This window comes from Homo sapiens, chromosome X, assembly GCF_000001405.40.
Source record: "Homo sapiens chromosome X, GRCh38.p14 Primary Assembly".
Taxonomy (NCBI): Eukaryota; Metazoa; Chordata; class Mammalia; order Primates; family Hominidae; genus Homo; species Homo sapiens.
In genome coordinates, this window is record NC_000023.11 from 110,352,494 (window position 1) to 110,374,306 (window position 21,813).

The following is a 21,813-nucleotide window of genomic DNA, read 5'->3' on the forward strand; positions in this document are numbered from 1 at the left end:
CATATCTATATTGGCAGGAAGTCATTTGGTGGTGCCCTAGGGGTGGGGTGGAGAGAGGGTTTGCCAGGTAATGGGAGTGACTACTGATGGGCATGGAGTTTCTTTGTGGGGTGCTGATAATGTTCTAAAATTAATTATGGTGATGTTTGCACAACTCTTTGAATATACTAAAAACCATTTAATTGAACACTTGGAATGGAGAGAGTATATGGTATGTGAATTATTTCTCAATAAAGCCTCTTTAAAAATTTCACCTTGAATTACTCATGCAGCTGCCAAGTGTGATTAGAAGCAGTGGAATAATTAATAAGCAGTTCCCCTAAGTCTTTCAGACAGATAACTGCCACATAAATTAATTCACCCAACAAATATTTATTGAACATGCACTATGTTAGCCACTGGACCAAACAGAGAAGGTGGAAAAAAACTGCCACCATGAAGCTTACATTCTGGTAGAAATAATAACAAAAACTTATAGCATTCATTATTCACTTAGCACAATGCCAGACATTGTTGTGAAACGTTTATATGTCTTCTGATTTAGTCTTGGTAGGTTGCATTTTTCTAGGAATTTATCCACTCGTTTTAGGTTATCCAATTTGTTTGTGTATGGTTGTTCATAGTAGTATCTTATGATATTTTGTATTTCTGTGGTATTAGTTGTAATGTCTTCTCTTTCATTTCTGATCTTGTTTATTTGAGTCTTCTCTCTGTTTTTCTTTGTTAGTCTGGCTAACAGTTTGTCAATTTTATCTTTTTAAAAAACCAACTTTCAGTTTTGTCAATGTTTTCTAAATTTTTTTAGTCTCTATTTTGTTTATTTCTGCTTTAATCTTTGTTATTTCTTTCCTTCTGCTAAGTTTGGGCTTACTTTGATCTTCTTTTTCTAGTTCCTTGAGGTGTAATGTTTGTTTATTTAAGAGCTTTCTTCTATTATGATGCAGGCATTTATTGCTATAAACTTCCCTCCTACGACTACTTTTGCTGCATCCCATAAGTTTTGGAGTGTTATGTTTCCATTCTTGTTTATCTCAAGATATTTCAAAATTTCCTTTTGAAATTTCCTTCTTTGACTCATTGATTGTACAGGAACATATTGTTTTGTTCAATTTCCACATATTTATGAGTTTTTCAAGGTTCTCCTGTTGTTGATTTCTACTTCCATGCCAATGTGGTCAGAAAAAATAATATAATTTCAATCTTAAATTTGTAAAGGCATGTTTTGTGGCCTAACATGATCTATCATGGAGAGTGTTCCATGTGTACTTGAGAATGATAGAAAACCTTAAAGACTCTACCAAAATCTGTTAGAACTGATGAACAAATTCAGTAAAGTTTCAGGTTACAAAATATGCAAAAATCAGCAGTGTTTCTATATACTAACAATGAACTATCTAAAAAAGAAATTAAGAAAATCCTATTTATAATTGCATCAAAAAATAAAATGTTTAGAAGTAACTTTAACCAAGTAGGTGAAAGATCTGTATAGTAAAAACTATAAAATATTGATGAAATAAATTGAAGAAAACACAAATATATGGAAAGATATCCCATGCTCATGGATTGGAATAATTAGTACTATTAAAATTTCCATACCACCCAAAGTGATCTACAGATTCAATGAAATTCCTGTCAAAATTCCAGTGTCATTTTTCACAGAAATAACAACCTAAAATTCATATGGAACCAGAAAAAACTCTTAATGGCCGAAGCAACTTTGAGTAAGAAGAACAAGGGTGGAGGCATCACACTCCCTGATTTCAACATACAGCGAGCCCTCTGTATCCATGGGTTTTGCACCTGTGGATTTGACCAACTGTGGATCAAAAATATTCCCAAAAAAGTGTCTGTACTTTACATGTACATACTTTTTTCTTGTTATTATTCCCTTTAAACAATATAGTATAAGAACTCTTTACATAGCATTTACATTGTATTAGGTATTATAAATAATCTAGAGATGATTTAAAGTAGGCACGAGGATGTGCATAGGTTATATACAAATACTATTCCACTTTATATCAGGAACTTGAGCATTTGTGGATTTTATTATCTGTGGGACGTCTTGGAACCAATCACTTATGGATACCAAGAGATAACTGTATATTAAATAAAGCTATTATAATCAAAACAGCATGATACTTGCATAAAGACAGACATATTGACCAATGGAACATGACAGAAAGCCTAGAAGCAAACCCAAGTATTTATGATAAATTGACTTTCAACAAAGGTGCCAAGACTATACAATAGGGAAAGGACAGTCTTTTCAATAAATGGTGTTGGGAAAACTGGATATCCACATGCAGAAGAATGAAACTAGACCCCTATCTCTCACCAATTCGAAATAAATAAACTTGAACATACGACCTGAAACTGTAAAACTACTAGAAGAAAATAGGGAAAAAGATCCACAGCATTGGTCTGGACAATGATTTCTTGGCAACAAGAAAAAGCAGAGGCAACAAAAGCACAGACATAGGCGACAAAAGCAACATTAGACAAATGAGATTGCATCAAACTAAAAAGCTTTTGCACAGCAGATGAAACAATTAATAGAGTGAAGGGACAGCTCACAGATTGGTAGAAAATACCGGGAAACATGTATCTGACAAGGGGCTAATATCCAAAATACATAAGGAAATCAGACAATTCAATCACAAGAAAACAACCTGATTAAAAAATGGGCAAGGCAGGAGTTCAAGACCAGCTTGGGCAATGAAGCAAGACCCCTGTCTCTACACAATTATTTTTTAATTAGCAGGATGTGGTGGTGCACACCTATAGTCCTAGCTACTCAGGTTGGTGAGGTGGGAGGATCACCTGAGCCCAGAGGCTGGAGGTTGCAGTGAGCTGTAATTGTGCCACCACACTTCAGCCTGGGCAACAGAGCAAAACCCTGTCTCTAAAGTTTTTAAAAATTTAAAAACATGGGCAAAGGATTTGGATAGACATTTCTTAAGAGTTGTGAATTGCCAACAGATATGTGAAAAAAAATGCTCAACATCTATACTCATCAGGGAAATGCAAAGTAAAACCACAATGAGGTATCATCTGTTAAAATGGCCATTATCAAAAAGATGAGTGATAAGTGTTGGTGAGAATATGGTGAAAAGAGAATCCTTGCACACTGTTGATTGGAAGGTGAATTCATATAACCATTTGGAAAACAGTATAAAGGTTCCTCAAAAAACTAAAAATAGAATTACCGTATGATACAGCAATGTCACTTCTGGGTATAAATCCAAAGGAATTGAGATCAGTATGTCAAAGAGATATCTGCACGCCCATGTTCATTTTAGTATTATTCACAATAGTCAAGATGTGGAAGCAACCCAAATGTCCATCAACAGATGAATGGATAAAGAAAATGTAATACCTATACACGATGGAATACTATATAGCCTTAAAAAATAAGAAAATTCTATCATTCAAAACAACATGGATGGAACTGGAAGATACTATGCTATGTGAAATAAGGCAAGCACAGAAAGATAAATATTGTGTGATCTCCTACGTGAAATCTTAAAAAGTGGATATCATAGAAACAAAGAACAGAAAGGTGGTTACCAGAGGTTAGTGGGGAGGAGGAGGGTTGGGGAAAGGGAAGATGTTGATCAAATTATATAAAATTTCAGTGAGACTGGAGGCATAACCTTTTTTTTTTTTTTTTTTTTGAGACAGAGTCCTACTCTGTTGCCCAGGCTGGAGTGCAGTGGCAGCATCTCGGCTCACTGCAACCTTCACCTCCTGGGTTCAAGTGAGTCTTCTGCCACAGCCTCCAGAGTAGATGGGATTACAGGCATGTACCTCCACACCCAGCTGATTTTTGTGTTTTTTTAGTGGAGACGGGGTTTCACCATGTTGGCCAGGCTGGTCTCAAACTCCTGACCTTAGGTGATCCACCTGCCTCGGCCTCCCAAAGTGCTGGGATTACAAGTGTGAGCCACCACACTGGCCAACTAGAGGAATAACTTTTAGTGATGTATTGCACTACATGGTAACCACAGTTAATAATAATATATTGTGTATTTCAAAATTGGTAAAAGAATAGCTTTTTAATGTTCTTACCACAAAATAATGATAAATTAGCGAGGTGATAGATATGTTCATTAGCTTGATTGAATCTTTCTATAATATACACATAGATCAAAACATCACATTGTACCATATATATATATACACACCTTATCATTTGTCAATTAAAAATAGTTTTGAAAGGAAAAAATAATAATATTTTGTAAGTATTATCATATTTAATGTCCACATCCCTTATGACATATAATATTATTATCCTCATTTTACAGATGAGATAACTAAAGCTCAGAGAAGTGCAGTTACTTGCCTGAGGTTGCATAGTTAGCAAGAGAGCAGAAGGAAAATGGAATCACTTCTCCCTGATTTTCAAGTCTGTGTACCTAACTACTACATTACAAATTTTGCATTCTTATATTAAAATATTGAAATGAGTAGCTCAATGAATTTAGCATCTATTTTTAAGCATTTTGAGAATTACTTTTCAAAATTCTTCATTTCTTTCTTCTTTCTTCAAACTAATTCATTAGTTTGAATTTTGCAAATAGAAAAATGAGAACTGAGTATGTATACATTAGCTTAGATCTATTAGTATAGATCACACATATACATGAAATTTAACACTCTATTTTTGAAAGATTTAAATGAAAATTTAATAACATTTTTAGATAAATACATGGGAAAATCAAATATTTGGTGGTCCTCCAAAGTAACGTAGGTGTATCTAATATGTTTCACAGCAAGTGTTGAGTGATAGATATACATAAAATCAGAAAAGAAAAAGTAACCACTTCATAAATCTTATAAATTGTGCCTTTTTACACTTTTTACTTTTTTAAAAGTATTTCAGCTTTTAATTTATTTGATTAGAACCATTTGAGAGACTGTTTCCTTGATATGAAATGCAAGCACACTCATTAGTGATCATGGTCAAGACCAAATGGCCAGTTTCTGCCAGCAAACGATTAACTTTGATGACAGATGTGTAAACCAAAAATAATTAAATTATTTGGTAATCATTCTTCCTTGCTGTAGGCTTTAAATAGTATTAGATCTTTGGGCATGAAATATATTTAATCCAGTTGTTAGATATAGTTACATTTTCAAAGCTGGATGAATCTTGTATTCTCACTGAGTACAGTTCTCCAACTGATGTGTCAAGGATGATGCTTGTATAACTATAGGAGGGAAATCCTCTGTGATTAATGCATGCAGGAGAAAATACTATGCTCTTCCCTGTGGGTGCAGGGCATGTTTCTACATACCCACATTGTGTGGGAAGCAGAGTGGTTATACTTGCCCTTCTTGGATTTTTTCTCAAGGCAAGACCCTGGCCTCATCCTCCAAATGCATGTTCCAGTCCCTCTCTCACATCAGGGGTGTTTACGAGACTGACTTGGATAACTTTTGCAAAATATACTTGCCTGGCCCTCTGTCTCCCCATTGGACATTTGTTTCATGAGGAGTATCATTTCTAGGGTAAAAGCAAGGATTTTGAAAAAAAATTCTTTGCCATTTTATCAGAAGAATTATATTTAATGAAATTAAAAATAAAAATAGGTGATTTTGATGTTCACCCTAGGCTAAGAGGACCACTGCTGTCTTTGAGGCATTTACAGACATATGGAAATCTGAAGCATACTTAGAGTTGCGGGTTCTTTCTCTGTAATTCTTTTAAACTGGGCATAAACCTCAAAGGGAGTGTAAAATGCAGAGTGTTGTCAACTTATCACACCAAGAATATTTTTTTGCACCTTTTTAGTTTGGAAGGGTCAAATTGAGATGACAGAGGAATAGTGGATAAGAGCTATAGTGCTATTAAATTACATTCTAGAGTTGGGAAAATCGAGACCCATAATCCTAGGAATTATTAATGATAAGAGCTAACACTTTCTGAGTGCTTACCACATGCCAGGCCCTATACTGAATGCATCATGTCCATTTTCTCATTTGATCCTGACAACCACCTGTGAGGCCTCATTTTGAAGACAAGCAAGCTGAGGCTCAGACCTTGGATTTGTCCAAGGTCACTCAGTTGGTCATTTACAGAGCCCTGATTCAAACTCTCTTTTGCTTGATTACAAAGCCATTGCTCTAAAAGATTAGATTATACTGTCTGTATTTGCTTCTGGGAGCTTATGGAATTCACTCCTATCTGTTCTCACAAGGAACTCTATTGGGTTTTGAAAAAGGCTAAAGAATTGAAAAGAAACTTTGTAGGCTGGGAAACATAGTGTCCTTTGAGCAGTGAGATAGGCTAAGCTCAGAGGACTGGGCTCTGGAATGTGGAAAGGAGACGTGCCCACTGGAGAGCAAGTCAGAACTTTCGTGAGCCCTGCTCCAGGTCCCAGGAGAAAGTGCCAGCCATGAGGACTGGAGTATTGCCTGGTAAGGAGAAGATTATTATTTTATCTAACACGTTCTTCTATAACGCTCTATATGCTAGGCACTGGTCTGCACTGCTCTAAGTACTTTATAAGTATTAACTCCTTTACATCTTATAACACTTCCCTGGAAATAGGCATTATTATTGCCCCCATAATACATATGAGTAAACTGAAGTTCAGAGATGTTAAATAACTTGTTCAAGGTCACATAGCTGGTTAAGTGCCAGAGCCAGGCTTTGAACCTAGGCAGTCTGGATCTAGTGGCTGTGTTATACTGCTTCGCAACAGAAACTTGATTTTTCTTTCTTCTGTGTTTATCATCCTTTCTCAATCACTCCTGGGCAAGTCTACTTTGCTAGCAAATTTCCCTTACCCCTTTGGCTTTTTTTTCACCCATGAACCCTCTAATGTTTTCTGCAGCTTCTTTGAGCTCATTCTTTATCTTCCACACTGCCTCTTTTGGCATTACTCATGAACGACATGCTCTTTTCATCTGCCAAATATTTTTTCCATAAATTATCCCATCTCAACTTGGGAAGTCACAATGGGAAGTATTGTTCCTATTTTGTGAATGAGGCAACTAAGGCAAGCAACTTTCCTGAAGTCTCACACAACCATCTAGTGGCAAAGTGCACTAGAATCCAGATTCTCTGATTCTGAATCTAATGTTCTTGTCCATTGCACCATCTGATGGAATTTAACTATCTATTCATTAATTAATTTATTCATTAATATTGTAAAAATATACTGAGTGTCTTACTGTATGGTAAGGCCCTGGGTGCAAAAGTCGGTATAAAAATTGTTGCTCTTAAGCAACAGACAACACAGAGAGATAAGGTCTCACCATAAAAAGTTAAATAGCAGCACATATACTAAGTGCCAAATGAGTGGTCTGGTCACATCATACAAGAATTTTGAGGTTGGATATGTAGCATCAAAGACTGCTTTATCAGAAAGGTGAGACTTGAACTTGGCATAGAAGGGTACTTAGAACTTAGAGAAGAGAATGGAGCAGCACTTTCCAAACTCTGGGAATGGTGTGCATTAAAGCAGTCCTTCACAACCTTTATTGTGTCATGGCATGCAGAGAAAAGCATAGTATTTGTAAAGCACACTAGGCTGAATGGAGGAAGCAGTTTGACATCTAGAGGCAAGCATTCTAGGAGTTTCAACAGCACTGTCTCTGGGCTCAGTTGAGGACAGAGAAGAAATCTCATAGCCTCAGACACTTGTAATATGTTTGGGAAGGTCTGCACTAGGTATTGGGGGCACACTGTGGTCATGGTGGGTCTAAAGACCACTGACAAGCCCACAGGGATGAAATGAGGGGAATTTCCAGAGAAGCCATAGTAGATACCATTGGAAAGAAAAGTTATGGGCAAATGATGAAGGGCTTTTGAATTTTATTCTGTGGACCTACAGAATAGGTAGGCAAAATATGCATAGCACTGTTTTAGAAAGATTCCACTGGTTTTCATATGGGAGATTAACTAGAGGGAAGAAGAGTAGTCAAGAGGCTATTACCATTGTCCAGGTGGGAGGTGATGTTATCTTGAACTAGATTGATAGTAATAGAGACAGAGAATGGTGGACAGAATTGAGTTATATTTTGGAGGTAAAAATGTCAGGGTTTGGTAATAGAATTGCATAATGGAGAGTAGAAGAAAGGGAGGTGACAAGGAGGATTTCAAATTTTCAAGTTTAAGCAAATGCTTATGAATAGTGATGCCATTCTTTAAGATAGAGAGCCCAGGAGAAGTAGAAAGATTTTTTTGGAGGGGAAGGACAAATGAGATGATGAGTTTCAAGTTGACATTTGGAGGCAAGGAAACCAGTTAGGAGGCTATTGTAAAAGCCAAGTAAGACAAGGTGAGATCCTGGACTACAATGGTAGCAGTGGGAATGGAAGGAAAATGGTGAATTGAGAGACATTATACAGGAAGAATTGATAGGATTTTGTCACGGACTGACTTCTGGAGTTGAAAGGTAGAGGAAGGCTTGAAGCCTAAGATATCTTCTGTCCTTTATCTTCTTAGTGATGCTCCGATCTTCGTGGCTTAATATACTATCTATTTGCTGATGAGTCACAAATTTGTATCTCCATACTTTTATGCCCAATTGCCTGCTGGACATATCAACTTGCATGCCTAATAGGTATCTCCAACTTACCATGTTCAAAACTGCCCCTGCCCACAACCCCCAACAAAACCTGCTGCACTCACAAAACCTGCTCCTCACAGTCTTCCCCGTCTCCCTAAATACCAATTTCATTCTTCCGGTTGCTCAGGCGGAAGACCTAGGAATCAATCTTGATTTTTCCCTCTTTCATATCCTACATTTATTTGATCAGCAAATCTTATTGGTTCTACCTTCAGAATATATCTAGAATCTGACCACTTTTTCATTGCTACTATCCTGGTTTATGTCACAATGATCTGCTTCCTGGATTATATTGCACTAGCCTCTCAACTGTTCTCCTTGCTTCTGTTCTTGCCACCATCACTCAAGCCTATTATTCTCTCACTGTTTTTTGGAACCAGGATAATTTTATTATGTGAATGTCAGATCATGTCACTCCTCTGCTCAAAACTCCTCCAATGGCTTCCCATCTGACACTCAGTAACAACAAAACCCCTTATAATGGCCCATAATGCTGTATGCAACCCAGATATTGACATACTCCTGTCCTTCAGGTGATGGATCAAATATCCCACTTGGTAAAATCTTCTCTGATTACCATATTTAGTATTGCAAGCGCCTTCTCGCCATTCTCTATCTGCCTTCCATGTTTTATTTCTTTATACTTTGAATACTAGCAGATGTTATATGTTTATCTATTTATTTGTTTATCATCTATCTCCTTCTGCTAGAACAGGAGCTGGAAAACTTTTTCTGTAAAGGTCCAGATAATAAATATTTTAGGCTTTGTGAGCCACGTAATCTTTAACACAACTACCTACCTCTATCATTGTTATACAAAAGCTGCCATAGATGAGCATGGCTGTGTTCCAATAAAACTGTATTTACCAAAACAGGGAGCGGGCTAGATTTAGCTAATGGGCCATAGTGTACTGACCCCTGCTAGAATGTAAATTCCAGGAGGGCAAGGACTTTTGTTTACTGCTGTATCTCCAACATCTAGAATAGTACCTGGCATATAGTAGGCACATGATTTATTTTACTGAATGAATGCATCAGTGGGAGATTGGAAAGCTGTGGAATAAAAAATATATATATATAACAGAGCCATTGATGGTGCAGAATCCTGAACAAAATCTAGCTTTGGATGGGTTTGCAGCATATCAACTCTCCTTCCTTCTTTTTCCCCTCATCCCTACACTAAAACTTAAGCTTGTTATATAAAGTAAAAGTTGCTTTCATTGCCTGTGCAATTCTCCCAATGTGTGAAATTTCATCTGACTTCCTTTAATGTTGTCATTTGTCTATTTAACCCTCCTGACTCAGACTCCCTCTAATAACAATAATAACTCAAATACTCTGTACTAAAACCAGAACGCTGAAATCAGTATTTTTAATTAATTTGAAACAACTGCTAGCAATAGCTTCTATTGACAACTCTACGCTTTTCAACACTTAATCATATTCTGAAGTACTCCCAGAAGCTGGGCGACTGTTACTCTTATGATATGAGATGATATTTTCCTTCCATGCATTCAATGTGAATGGTTTGTTCTGAAAAACTTCAGCTTTCATGTACTCCTAATGGTAAGAATCACATGGTAGGAAATATGATAAATGAAGTATTTACCAGTTCTTACTGACTGTTCTTTCATACTTCCTTGGATCTCTTACAGGCACTAAAGATATCCTGTAGTTATATGACTTCCTATTGAAAATGCACTTTCACTCATTCATTATTTTATATAGTCTTCCACACATTGCTAACATTTACCAAACATTCACTACGTATGTGGTATTGTGCTGGGGGATTTATATATATTAATTCATTTAATTCTTATAAAACACCTAAGTGATATATACTATCATAATTTTATAGATGAAGGAACTGAAGTACTAAAAGCTGAAGTAATTTGCTCAAGGCCCCACAACCAGCAGAAAAGGAAGCTAGCATTTCAACTCAGGTCTGCCCAACTCCAGAGCCAAGATTTATCTATTGTTTTTTGTCACCTCAACAAATATTTACCATATGCCATGCAGCACACTAGGCAGTACCTACAAAGATGAATAGGGCATGATCTCCTTGGCCTTCCAGAGGTAACACTAGTTGGGGCTATATGGGTGGGAATGGAGTGTCAGATGCAGAAGCTAAGGAATTTTCTCTTTACAAACAGGTGGGTGAGAAAGTAGACACAGCACTGTGAATTTGTGGAGTTTTGAAAAATGGACAGAGGGCTACAGACTGAGAGGGAATAGGGCCACCAACTCTAGAATTAAGGTCAACTGATAGGGTAGAAACATGCCATTCTCAGGGGCTTAAGCTGACAAAAGAAATTGCCCACTGTAGAAATGAGATTGGCTGCCCACAGAAAAGTATTTACTGATAGATAAGGGACCTCCCTATGTGTCATTAAGGAGTAATGCTCTAAAATGTAATCAGTGGAAAACACAACTGTAGCCTTGGAAATGCTATGGCTGGGAAAGTCCATATAACTAAGACGGGGTTCATGATATTGTGACATGTACAAACAAGTTATTTGACCATTATAGAGAGAAAAATAAAAATAATTAGAAAGAGAAGTTGCTTTTATTACTCTGTGCCCTGGCCTACTGACACATTTATTGACTTTCTGATAGGGTGATGCATGGATGCATCAGACTGAATAAACTACATGACTCCATCTCTTCAGATCATCCCACACCATATACTATCTCTTCACTCACCAGTAATAACAGTCACCATATAACAAGTGCCTACAGAGTCAAACACTTTACATAAATTATCTTATTTAATCCTCAAGGCAACTCTATGATATCATAGAATTCTATTATTAGTTCCATTTTCAAATGACGGAACTGAGGCTCAGAGAGGTTATGTGACTTAAGCCCATAAAACGGAATGAGTGGTATATTAGTTTTCTGTGACTACCATAACAAATTGCCACAAACTTGGTGGCTTAAAACAGCAGATATTTATACTTTCACAGTTCTGGAGGCCAGAAGTTCAAAATCAAGGTGTTGGCAGGGCCATGCTCCCTACAAAGGCTCTAGGGGAGATTCTGTTCCTTGCCTCTTCCTAGCGGTTCCAGGTGTTGCTTGGCTTGTGGTAGCATCATTCCAATCCCTGCCTCTGTCTTCAGATGGGCTTCTCCCTTGTCTCTGTGCCCTGTCACTTATAAGGACACTTATCATTGGATTTACAGCCCACCCTAATCCAGGATGATCTCATGTAGACATCCTTATCTTACATACATCAGCAAAGAGTCATATTCTAAATAAGTTCACATTTTGCAGTTCCAGTTGGATGTAACTTTTGGGGGCGGTGACACAATTCAACCCACTATGTATAGCCTAGCTGGGACCCTAGCCTATCTGACTCCAAAACTCTGGCTCTTTCCACTAACTAAAGCAGGCTGCTCCCACCAAACAAACAGCCTTTTGTCTTTATTTGGTTTCCTAAGTAGATTTCCTACTGGGATTTATCAAGATGAATTAATAAATTGACATTTTGGCTTCCAAATTATTGCCTTATAAGTTTAGGTTGTGTGAAATTTGTCCCCTAGAGCCTGATCAATCCCTGGCTAAAATGGAAAAAATTGAGTTTTGGAACCTGTGAAGCTGATGAATGGATCCTGAATAGGACCAAGGTCCATTTAGAGTATAAGCATCCCACAGCCTGCCAGCCATACTAATTTCTTTACTATATATGTGACCATAATATAATGGGATAGCATAATATTCTAAGTCTACCGAAGAATGTCTAATCATCTAAGAGCTTACAGGGGGAATTTTTGTGTACCTTAATATTATATCCAGAAATATTCCCTGTAGTGCCAACTATATTTGTTCCTGAGCCTCAGCTCCCTGCATCAGGTCACAAGGAAGATGTCTCTAGGAGTTCATTATCACATTAAGACAAGGATTCTGTAGGAAAATGGGAATCTAGAAACAGTAGGGACTTCCTGTACCTCTACATCAGTGTCTTTGCAGGGGAATTGCCCTAGCTGACCAGTTGACACTGGCCTGCTCACACCTTAATTATGAATAGAATATTCCCAGGGATGTCTTTCTCAGATTGTGGTCAGTTTGTGGGCCGCCTATTGTGGTGGTCCACTGAGTGACACCTGGGGAGCTAGTTAAAAATGTCAGTTTCCTGGTCCTTTATAGCAGACTTACTGAGTTAGTATATCTGAAGATAGGGTCAGGAGCCTGCATTTTAAAACAAGATTCTGGAATAATTCTGATACATATTCAAGTTTGAGAACCATTGCCTTCTGGTGAAATCAGGCTTCCATGACGTTGAAATACAGAATAAACTCCAAATGTTCATTTACAATTCCAGCCAATAATCACTTACCTTATTGCATTCTTGTAGCGTGATCTATATGCTTTAGTTCATGTGACAATATCATTTCATATGGCTTAATTTAAATGAAAGCAAAGGCAGTTATGGCAAGATTTCTTAATCCTGCTCTCCTGAGACAATTTACATAATAACTTTTGGGGAGAATGCAATAATCTCTCTCTAATATCTTAAACTGATCTCTAAGGTTCCTTTTGGCTCCAACATTCTGATTCTATCAGTGTTCCTAGGGCTTCAAATCTGTCTGTGCAAAACACATTGCTTGTTACAGACTAAACCTATTTTCCTTCTTCCAGGCAACAAGTTTCTGAAGAAAACTGGTTGCTCATGATCTTTCTGGGTGTTTTCTAATAATATATACCTTCTCACAATATTATTGCAAAGAGTGAGCGAGGTGATCTATGCAAAGTGCCAAGCATAGTGCCTGACACAAGGAAGTGGTTAGTAAATATGCATGCTGCTTCCAGTGCATTGTGACAATACTATCTCTTGAATTATTGAAAATATAACATCAGGAAACTTCAGCTGAATGAAAACTAGGGAATTAGCTGTATTGACAATATTAGGTTTATTTGGCTTTAGGGGAACTAGATAGAACCGAAATCTCTGCAGACTGGCTCAGCTGCAGAATAGAGAGATGGCCCGGGGAGGACATGTGTTGGTTCCTGCCATGCATATTGTCTTGGAGAAAAGCTGCTATGACTCTGGCCCAACAAAGGTTTTATCCTAAAAGTCAGCTTCCAATCCCCAACATGATTCCTAAGCTAGCATTTCTCAAAATGTATTCCATGGAGTACTAGTTTCTGAGGATTGATGTTGATAGTATTACATAAAGAGCTCCATGAACAAGCAATGTTACAAACCACTGGATTAGTCAAATGTGGTTTCCTGGCTGCGAGAATATTCAGAGTCCTTAATAGGTCAACAGGTAATGTGAATCTCCAAAAACTAATGGGGTATACCGGATTTGAAAATTTTTGTGACCTCACTCACAGAGATGGTGGTGAGGGACTAGTGGTTCTGAAAAATGCAATTATGAGAACACTACTCCAAAATGACTAGTGACTTGCTAACAAGAATGGACACTTTTCAGCCCTTACATGATAAAAGTTAAGAGAACAATTACGTGCTAAACTATAGAGTACTGTCCCTCAGCCCCCTAGTGTCTCCATTTTCTTCTTTGATCAGCTTAGATTCTATAACCATCCTTAAAGTCACTGTTTAGCATACACCCTAGATTCCCTAGGCTCTCTCTGCTTTCATGTGATTTGAATAACAGACATCCAATCGTTGTTAAATCCTACTCTCTTTATTCCCAACCTGCCCCAGCAGCCGAATGAGATTGGATAAAAGCTTATAACCGTGCTAACCAGTCTCGCTTTAGATTCAGGACCACTAACTTCAAATGGGCCCTTAGTACTATCTGCTAACTTCACTACATTCATTTCATCCATTCATTCTTGAATGCTCCTGGGTGGCTTTTTTACATCTTTCCTTTCCTCAAACTTCCGACACTTGTTTCTACATTTTCCCTTTCAGCTGCTACCTTGTTTCCTATTTCACTGAGAAAATAGAAGTTGTCAGAAAAGAACTCCCACCAATCTATTTGTATTTGTATCCATAAACTCTGCCTTCCCTCTTGTCACTGTGAGCGAACCATCTGGGATTCCACTGAATGCTGACTCCTCTACTTATGCACTAAATTTTATTTCTTTTTGCCTAATCAAGGTCATTACTCAAGTCATTCACTCTTCCCTCATGGCATCAATTTTTCTTTCATTGAACAACATCTTCAATGTTTAAAAAATCTGTTCTCTTCACCCAAGTCATAGCCCCATTTCTCTCCTCCTCAGAGCAAAAATTCTGGAATGAGTTGTCTCTGCTCATTCGTTCCAATTTCTCTCCTCTCATTTTCTCTTGAATCCTCTCCAGTCAGGCTTTTGCCATCATCACTCCACCAAAATGATTCATATCAAGGTCAACAATATCTCCTCAGTATTAAATTCAATGGTCATTTTACTGTTCTCCTTTTTTTTTCGCCCAACAGCGGCATTTGACACAGTTTATCACTCTCTCCTTGAAACACTTTTTTCTTCCACTTGGCTTCCAGGACACCATGTAATTCTTGGCTCTTTCTACTTCACTAGCTACTATTTCTTAATATCCTTTACAGGTATGTCTTCATTTTCATGATAACTAGGTTGTCTGATTGGCATCTCAACTTGAAATTATCCAAGGTCAAAGTGACTATTTTCCTTATACCTGCTTCTCCCACAGCCTTCTTTATCCATTCTTCTGGTTATTTAGGCCAAAGCCTTGGAGTCTGACTTGACTCCCTTTTTCTCTCACACTCCAGATCCTATCTATCAGCAATACTTTCAGCTGAATAGTTAAAAATTTATTTGTTTAGAAACAGCATCTCACACTGTCACCCAGGCTGGAATGGAGTGGCACAATCATAGCTCACTATAACTTCAGACTCCTGGGCTCAAGGGATCCTCCCACCTCAGATTTCCCAGTAGTTGGAACTACAGGTACTCACCACAGTGCTGGCTAATTATTATTATTATTATTATTATTATTATTATTATTATTATTATTTTGTAGAAACAGATGTCTTGCTTTGTTGCCCAGGCTGGTCTTGAACTTCTGGCCTAAAGTTATTTTCCCACCATGGCCTCTCAAATTGTTGGGATTACAGGTGTGAGCCACTGCACCTGGCCTAAAAGTATATTTAGAATCTGAACACTTCTCTACTGCTATAACCTTAATCCAAGCCAGCATCATTTCTTACTTGGATCATTACATAATCCATTAAACATGTAAATCAGATCATGTCATGCTCCTGCTCAAAACCGTCCGTGGCCTTTTATATTGTTCACAATAAAAGCCAAAGTCTTTAGAGTGACCTACAAGATTCTACATGATCTACCTTCATTCCCATTACCTCTCTGACCTCATGCCCTGTCACTCTCCTCTTTGATTACTGAGATCAGCCATATGGCTTACTTGCTGTTTCTCAGACATACCAAGAAAACTCCCAGAGGTCCATTGCTTTTCTCTCTAACTAGGATGTTTCTTCCTCATAGAGTGTCATGCTTATTCACTTGCTTCTGTCAAATCTCTGTGCAAATGACACTTTATCAGTGATACTTTCTTTATCATCTTATTTAAAAATTGCCACTCTCTGCATGCTTCCTACAACTTTACTCTGCTTAATTTTTTTCCATAGTACTTGTCATTTTCTGATATATTAATATTGATTTGTTTGTTTACTGTCTATCTTCACCACTAGAATATAAGCTTCAGGAAGGCAGGGATTTTATTTTGTTGCTGCTGTATCCCTAGTGTGTAATGTGGTAGCTGGCACATAATAGGTGCTCAATAAATTTCAAATTATTATAATAAAGAATGATTCCAAGTGCAATAGGAATTCCAAGATTCCTGCCATCTTCAGATGGACCCAGATATCCTTCATCATCTGCAGCAATCCCCCACCCAGTGCCAAACTCTGTGACACTGCATGTCTGGTAGTGAGTTTAGTCTTTACATGAGGACTTCCAGGAAGTTCCATAGATTCTTAAGCAAAGTGCTCCATTATTGAAGCTATTTAACTCCTAGAAAGATCTTTGTGGCTGTGTGCGGTGGCTCACGCCTGTAATCCCAGCACTTTGGGAGGCTGAGGTGGGCAGATCAGGAAGTCAGGGAATTGAGACCATCCTGGCTAACACAGTGAAACCCCGTCTCTACTAAAAATAGAAAAAATTAACCGGGTGTGGTGGCACGCTCCTGTGGTCCCAGCTACTCGGTAGGCTGAGACAGGAGAATTGCTTGAACCCGGGGGGTGGAGGTTGCAGTGAGCAGAGATGGCACCACTGCACTACAGCCTGGGCGACAGAGCAAGATTCTGTCTCAGTAAAAGAAAAAAAGAAAAAAAGAAAAAGAAAGATTTTTGCCAAGGGTCCTTTTCTGATACATAACATTTTTTGAATAGGTATTAGGTGTACACGATACAAAGTGCCAAATGTTCAAAGAGCAAGTAGTGAAAAGTATATTCTACCACTCCCACTGCTACCAACTTATTCCAAGCCACCCACATTTCTAAACTGGAATTATAGCACAATTTTTTTAGAAACAGAAGTTAGATGATGTCGCTCCTCTGCTAACATCAGCCTGGGGCATGTCATCACACTCAAGGTAAAAGCTAGAGTCTCCCTCTGCCCCCAGCCACCAAGATCCCTTCCTGGAGGCAAACACTCTTACTAGTTTATTGTGAATTTTTTAGAGATAGCATGTATATTATACACACATATCTCCATGTGTATAATTCATTTTTAAACTGTACACACTATTTTTTATATTTCTTTTTTTCTCACTTTATTCTACCTCATTCTTTTTAATAGCTACAGTTGTATCAGTATGGCTACTGTATTCTCCAGAGATTCTTAGTCTGGAGTCCATATATGGGTTTCAATGGGTCTATGAATCTCCTGAAAGTGCATGTTGACACTTGTGTGCGTGTGTACATGTATATCTTTTAGCAGAGCAGGCCCATATCTTTGATCAGATTGAAAGGAATCTGAGACCCAAAATGAGTAAGAAACCACTATATTGAGTCTGAATCTGCCTTCCTGAAACACCTACCCTTTAGTCCTAATTCCACTGTTTGGAGCAGTTCTGTCAGGACCTGGTACATAGAGGACATACAACAGGTAACTTGTGAAATGGATGAAGGGACAACATAAAATGAATCTATTCTGTCTCTCTCTTTTTAAAATTTTTAAATTTTTATTTATTATTATTTTTTAAAGACAGAGTATCACTCTTGTCACCCAGGCTGGAGTGCAATGGCACAATATTGGTTCACTGAAAACTTCCACTCCCAGGTTCAAGCAATTGTCCTGCCTCAGCCTCCCCAGTAGCTAGGATTACAGGCACCTGCCACCATGCCCAGCTAATTTTTGTATTTTTAGTAGAGACATGGTTTCACCATGTTGGCCAGGCTGGTCACAAACTCCTGACCTCATGTGATCCACCCGCCTAGGCCTCCCAAAGTGCTGGGATTACAAGCGTGAGCCACTGCGCCCGGCCTATTCTCTCTTCTTTATGTTAGCTTTTGGTTAGCCTGAGGAAACTATCATATTCTAAGTCATCCCTTTTCTAAAGTTAATTACTTAATTTTCTTAACTTTTCCTAATTTGACATGGTTTCCAAACCTGTAGGCTTTCCCTACATGCTGTAATGTGGGTTTCTTCCTCAAATGCCATCGGGGCAAGCTGGTAATTTAAAAAAGTGAAGTGGATCAGATGTGAGACAACGGCAAGTGGTGGGACCTGTGGAGTCCACATGGCTAAGATGTTCACATTCAAACTCACATATAACACATCCATAACCAAACAAAAAATATTTTCAGGCCAGTTTTGGACTATGGGCAGGCAGCTTGCAAATATAAAAATTTGGACCTCGTACAGTTTGTTGATACTCTTTTCACATCTTCTGCACTCTATCAATTCACTTTTGTCCTCCCCATAGGCCTGACAATTTAATCAAACTAAGGTAGTGCCTGCATCTCAAATACCCCTTAAGATTCCTTGCTATTATTCCTTTGCCAATATGGCTCTGTCTGTATAAAATGCCTTTGTGGAATATTCTCTACTTGCCCCTCAAGATCCACTTTTAAAAATAGACTATTTTTTAGAGCAGTTTTAGGTTAACAGCAAAATTGAGAGGAACATACAGAGAGTTCCCGTTAGCCCCTAAAGATCCAGTTTTCACCCTTCTTCATCCTCTTTGTGTACCCCCCGAGACTGACCTTTATAGACTGCATTTAAAAACATATTTTTAGTTATTGTGGGTACATAGTAGGTGTATATATTTTTGGGGTACATGAGATGTTCTGATACAGGCATGCAATGTGAAATAAACACATCATGAAGAATGGGGTATCCATACCCTCAAGCATTTACTCACTGAGTCGCAAACAATCCAATTACAGTCCTTAAATTATTTTTAAATGTACAGTTATCACTGGCTATAGTCACCCTGTTGTGCTATCAAATAGCAGATCTTATTCATTCTATTTTTTGTACCCATTGACCATCCCCAACTCCCCCCAGCCCCCCACTACCTTCCCAGCCTCTGGTAACCATATGAATTGGCTTCCTTGTCCTCTGAATTCTTCTTGGATATGGCCAATGTAAGGCACTAACAGGGGACTGGAGATCAGAGACAGGTTAAAGTCTGCGTATTTATTCTCCTGGCTCCCTCTTTATGGAGTGGGTGCAGCTTGGCTGAATCCTGTTAGAAGGATCTGCTGTGAGCCACAGACTTTTTTTTGGCAGTCATCTTCTAAAGCTATGGCTACTCTGTCTAGGTTCTGGTTAACTGCTTTCTCCCCTTGGCTTTTCAGGTCTCAGGGTGGTAAGTGCTCCCTGGGGTGCTTCACCATCCTTTTTGCTTTCCCTTAACAATGCTCACACTGTTATAAACAGTCCGTTCATTAAACTCCACTCACTTCCCTGTTGAATATGCTCTCAATATCCTACTAGATCCTTTACTGTTACCAATGCCTTCAACTCCCTTGTGTACTTGGTGTACTCCCCATTGTTAAGGTCCCAGCTCCTAGGACAATGTGGTGCATTCCTAGATATCACTCCCTTTGAGAAAGTTAGCTATTCCCCCACCTCTTTGAGAACATTTCTTGCAACACTCTGTGTTTAGATCTTGGGCTTCTTATGATTGGGAATGAAGCCTATTCGTTATTGTTTCCTGGCCAAGTAGATGTTTGGTGAGTATTGGTTATCTTTTTTGCTTTGTGAGGAGGATATAAAATCAAGGAAGGAGGATATTTGCTTTTTATTTCTTTCAAATTATTTGATTTTAAAAGAAATGCCTACACATTATTTTTTAAAAATTAAAATGAAAAGAAAAAAGTAGTAAAAGTGGCACCGTTCTTCACATCCGTGCTGGAAGTAACAGTGGTAATGGTTTTTGTTGTGCATCCTTCCAGTATCTTTTTATGCACATAAAGGCTTAAGTTTGTGTACATAAAATGTAGACTCACATATTTCTCTGCTCCTTGCTTTTTTTTTAACTTAACAACACACCTGTCTTTCTATATCAGCCAATGTAAGTATACAGCCCTACTTCATTATGTTTTATGGCTGCATTGTATTTCATTTGATGAATTTACCATAATTTATTTAACAAGCCTCTATTATTAGCTAGTTTATCTAATATTTTCACTGTTAAAAGCAACACAACTTAAAACACAGAGACATACTGGATCAAATTTAAGCCCAAAAATATATGGCTGAGCTCCAGAAGCAAGAAAGGAAAACTGTCAGATTCCAGAGACAAGAGAAAACTCACAGTCACAGCAATGAGCATAAATTGACATTTCACCACTCACAGGAAAAATGGGACCAGGTATATTCCTTAAAGGATGAGATTATAAGTCCTCTGTAGGGCTTAGAATTGAGTTAGAATTGTGCTTCCCTCATAAAACAAAGAGTAGAAGGATGCTGCCCCATTTATTATTTAAAAGCAGATTTCCCAAATAGTCAGGGGTACAATAATAACAAATCTTATTTAGTACTTACTATGTGCCAAGCATTGTTCTACATGATTTACATGTATTTATTTATTTAACCATCACAGAAACCCTATGATATTAGGTACTATTATAAACCCCATTTTATAAGTAGGGAGTAAAACGTTTAAGTAACTTGCGCAGCTAGGAGGTGGCAGCTCTAAAATTCAGACTCAGGCATCCTGACTCCAGGACCATGCCTGTAAGTAAATGTGCTATATTGCTTCTCTACAAACAGGATGTAGGTCATCTTCCTTAGGATGAGGTGGAAATAAACTCACCCATAAGAAGTTTAAAACTTTAAACCTGAGCTGCACACTAGTATGAAACCAAAATTCACAGTACCCACATAATGCAGAAACCCTGGGGTGAGAACTTAACATAAAACCTGGCTCAGAGCAGGAACACAATGAAACTCTAGCAGAGGCAAATGAAAAACCGCCTGTAGACCCACCTCCATAACTCAGAGTCCAATTCTTACGGAAGGGTTCTAACAGAAAACAGTTCCTGCAGAAGATAAGCTCACATGCAAAAAAATGATAAAGCACATGAGGAAATTGACTGGAATGAGTTAGTTGGTATATACAAGAAATGGGAGAATTATGTCCCAAGAAACTACAGATAATACAGTAATCTGAAAGGACTTTATTTTTTGGGTTTTTCTCATCTTTTTGTAGCCCTCATGTATGAAAGAACTTTAAAATGTTGTATGTTTGAAGGTTTCAAGATGTAAAAAAGGAACATAATACATAAAGCAAGAGCACAACTTTCCTCGGTGTGTGTACACCAAATAAATAGGCCAGAAATGAAGAATATAGAAAATATGGGATGAGCATTGTAAGATTTTAGTTCTAGCCCCAATGAAATATTTAAAAAGTCAAATGACAGTTTAAACTACAAATAAGTTATGAGTGAAGAGAGAACAAATGGAATAACAAATAGAGCCGAGATAATCATAGAATATAGCATGGCACTATAAAAATGCTAAATATGAAAGGGAAAATAGAAGACACACATGATATAACAAGAAACTTCACATTCATCTAATAAAGCTCCAGAAAAAAAATAGGAAGAGATAATATTCAAAGAGAAATAGCTGATAATTTTCTAAAACTGAACAGGACATGAGTCCTGAGATTAAAACCATGTACCTAGTTCTAAGCAGAATAAAGACAAATTGATACCCTGTAGATGCAACAGGGTGAAACTGTAGAACATCAAAGATAAAATGAAAATCTTGAAACCTACTATAGACAAACAATGTTGCAAAATATTTCTGTAGAATAGATTCCTAAAAT

General features: G+C 37.8%; 2 protein-coding genes across 10 annotated transcripts in view; one reads left to right on the forward strand and one right to left on the reverse strand.

The window, feature by feature from the left end:
- AMMECR1 (AMMECR nuclear protein 1) overlaps positions 1 to 21,813 on the reverse strand; it is a 246,048-nt gene that overhangs the window by 158,308 nt on the left and 65,927 nt on the right. The window lies entirely within an intron of this gene.
- RTL9 (retrotransposon Gag like 9) overlaps positions 6,355 to 21,813 on the forward strand; it is a 97,487-nt gene continuing 82,028 nt past the window's right edge. For all 9 annotated transcript variants that reach the window (XM_047442284.1, XM_047442283.1, XM_017029695.2 and 6 more), the window contains exon 1: positions 6,355 to 6,423. The gene's annotated coding sequence lies outside the window, so the exon portion shown is untranslated. The remainder of the gene's footprint in view (positions 6,424 to 21,813) is intronic.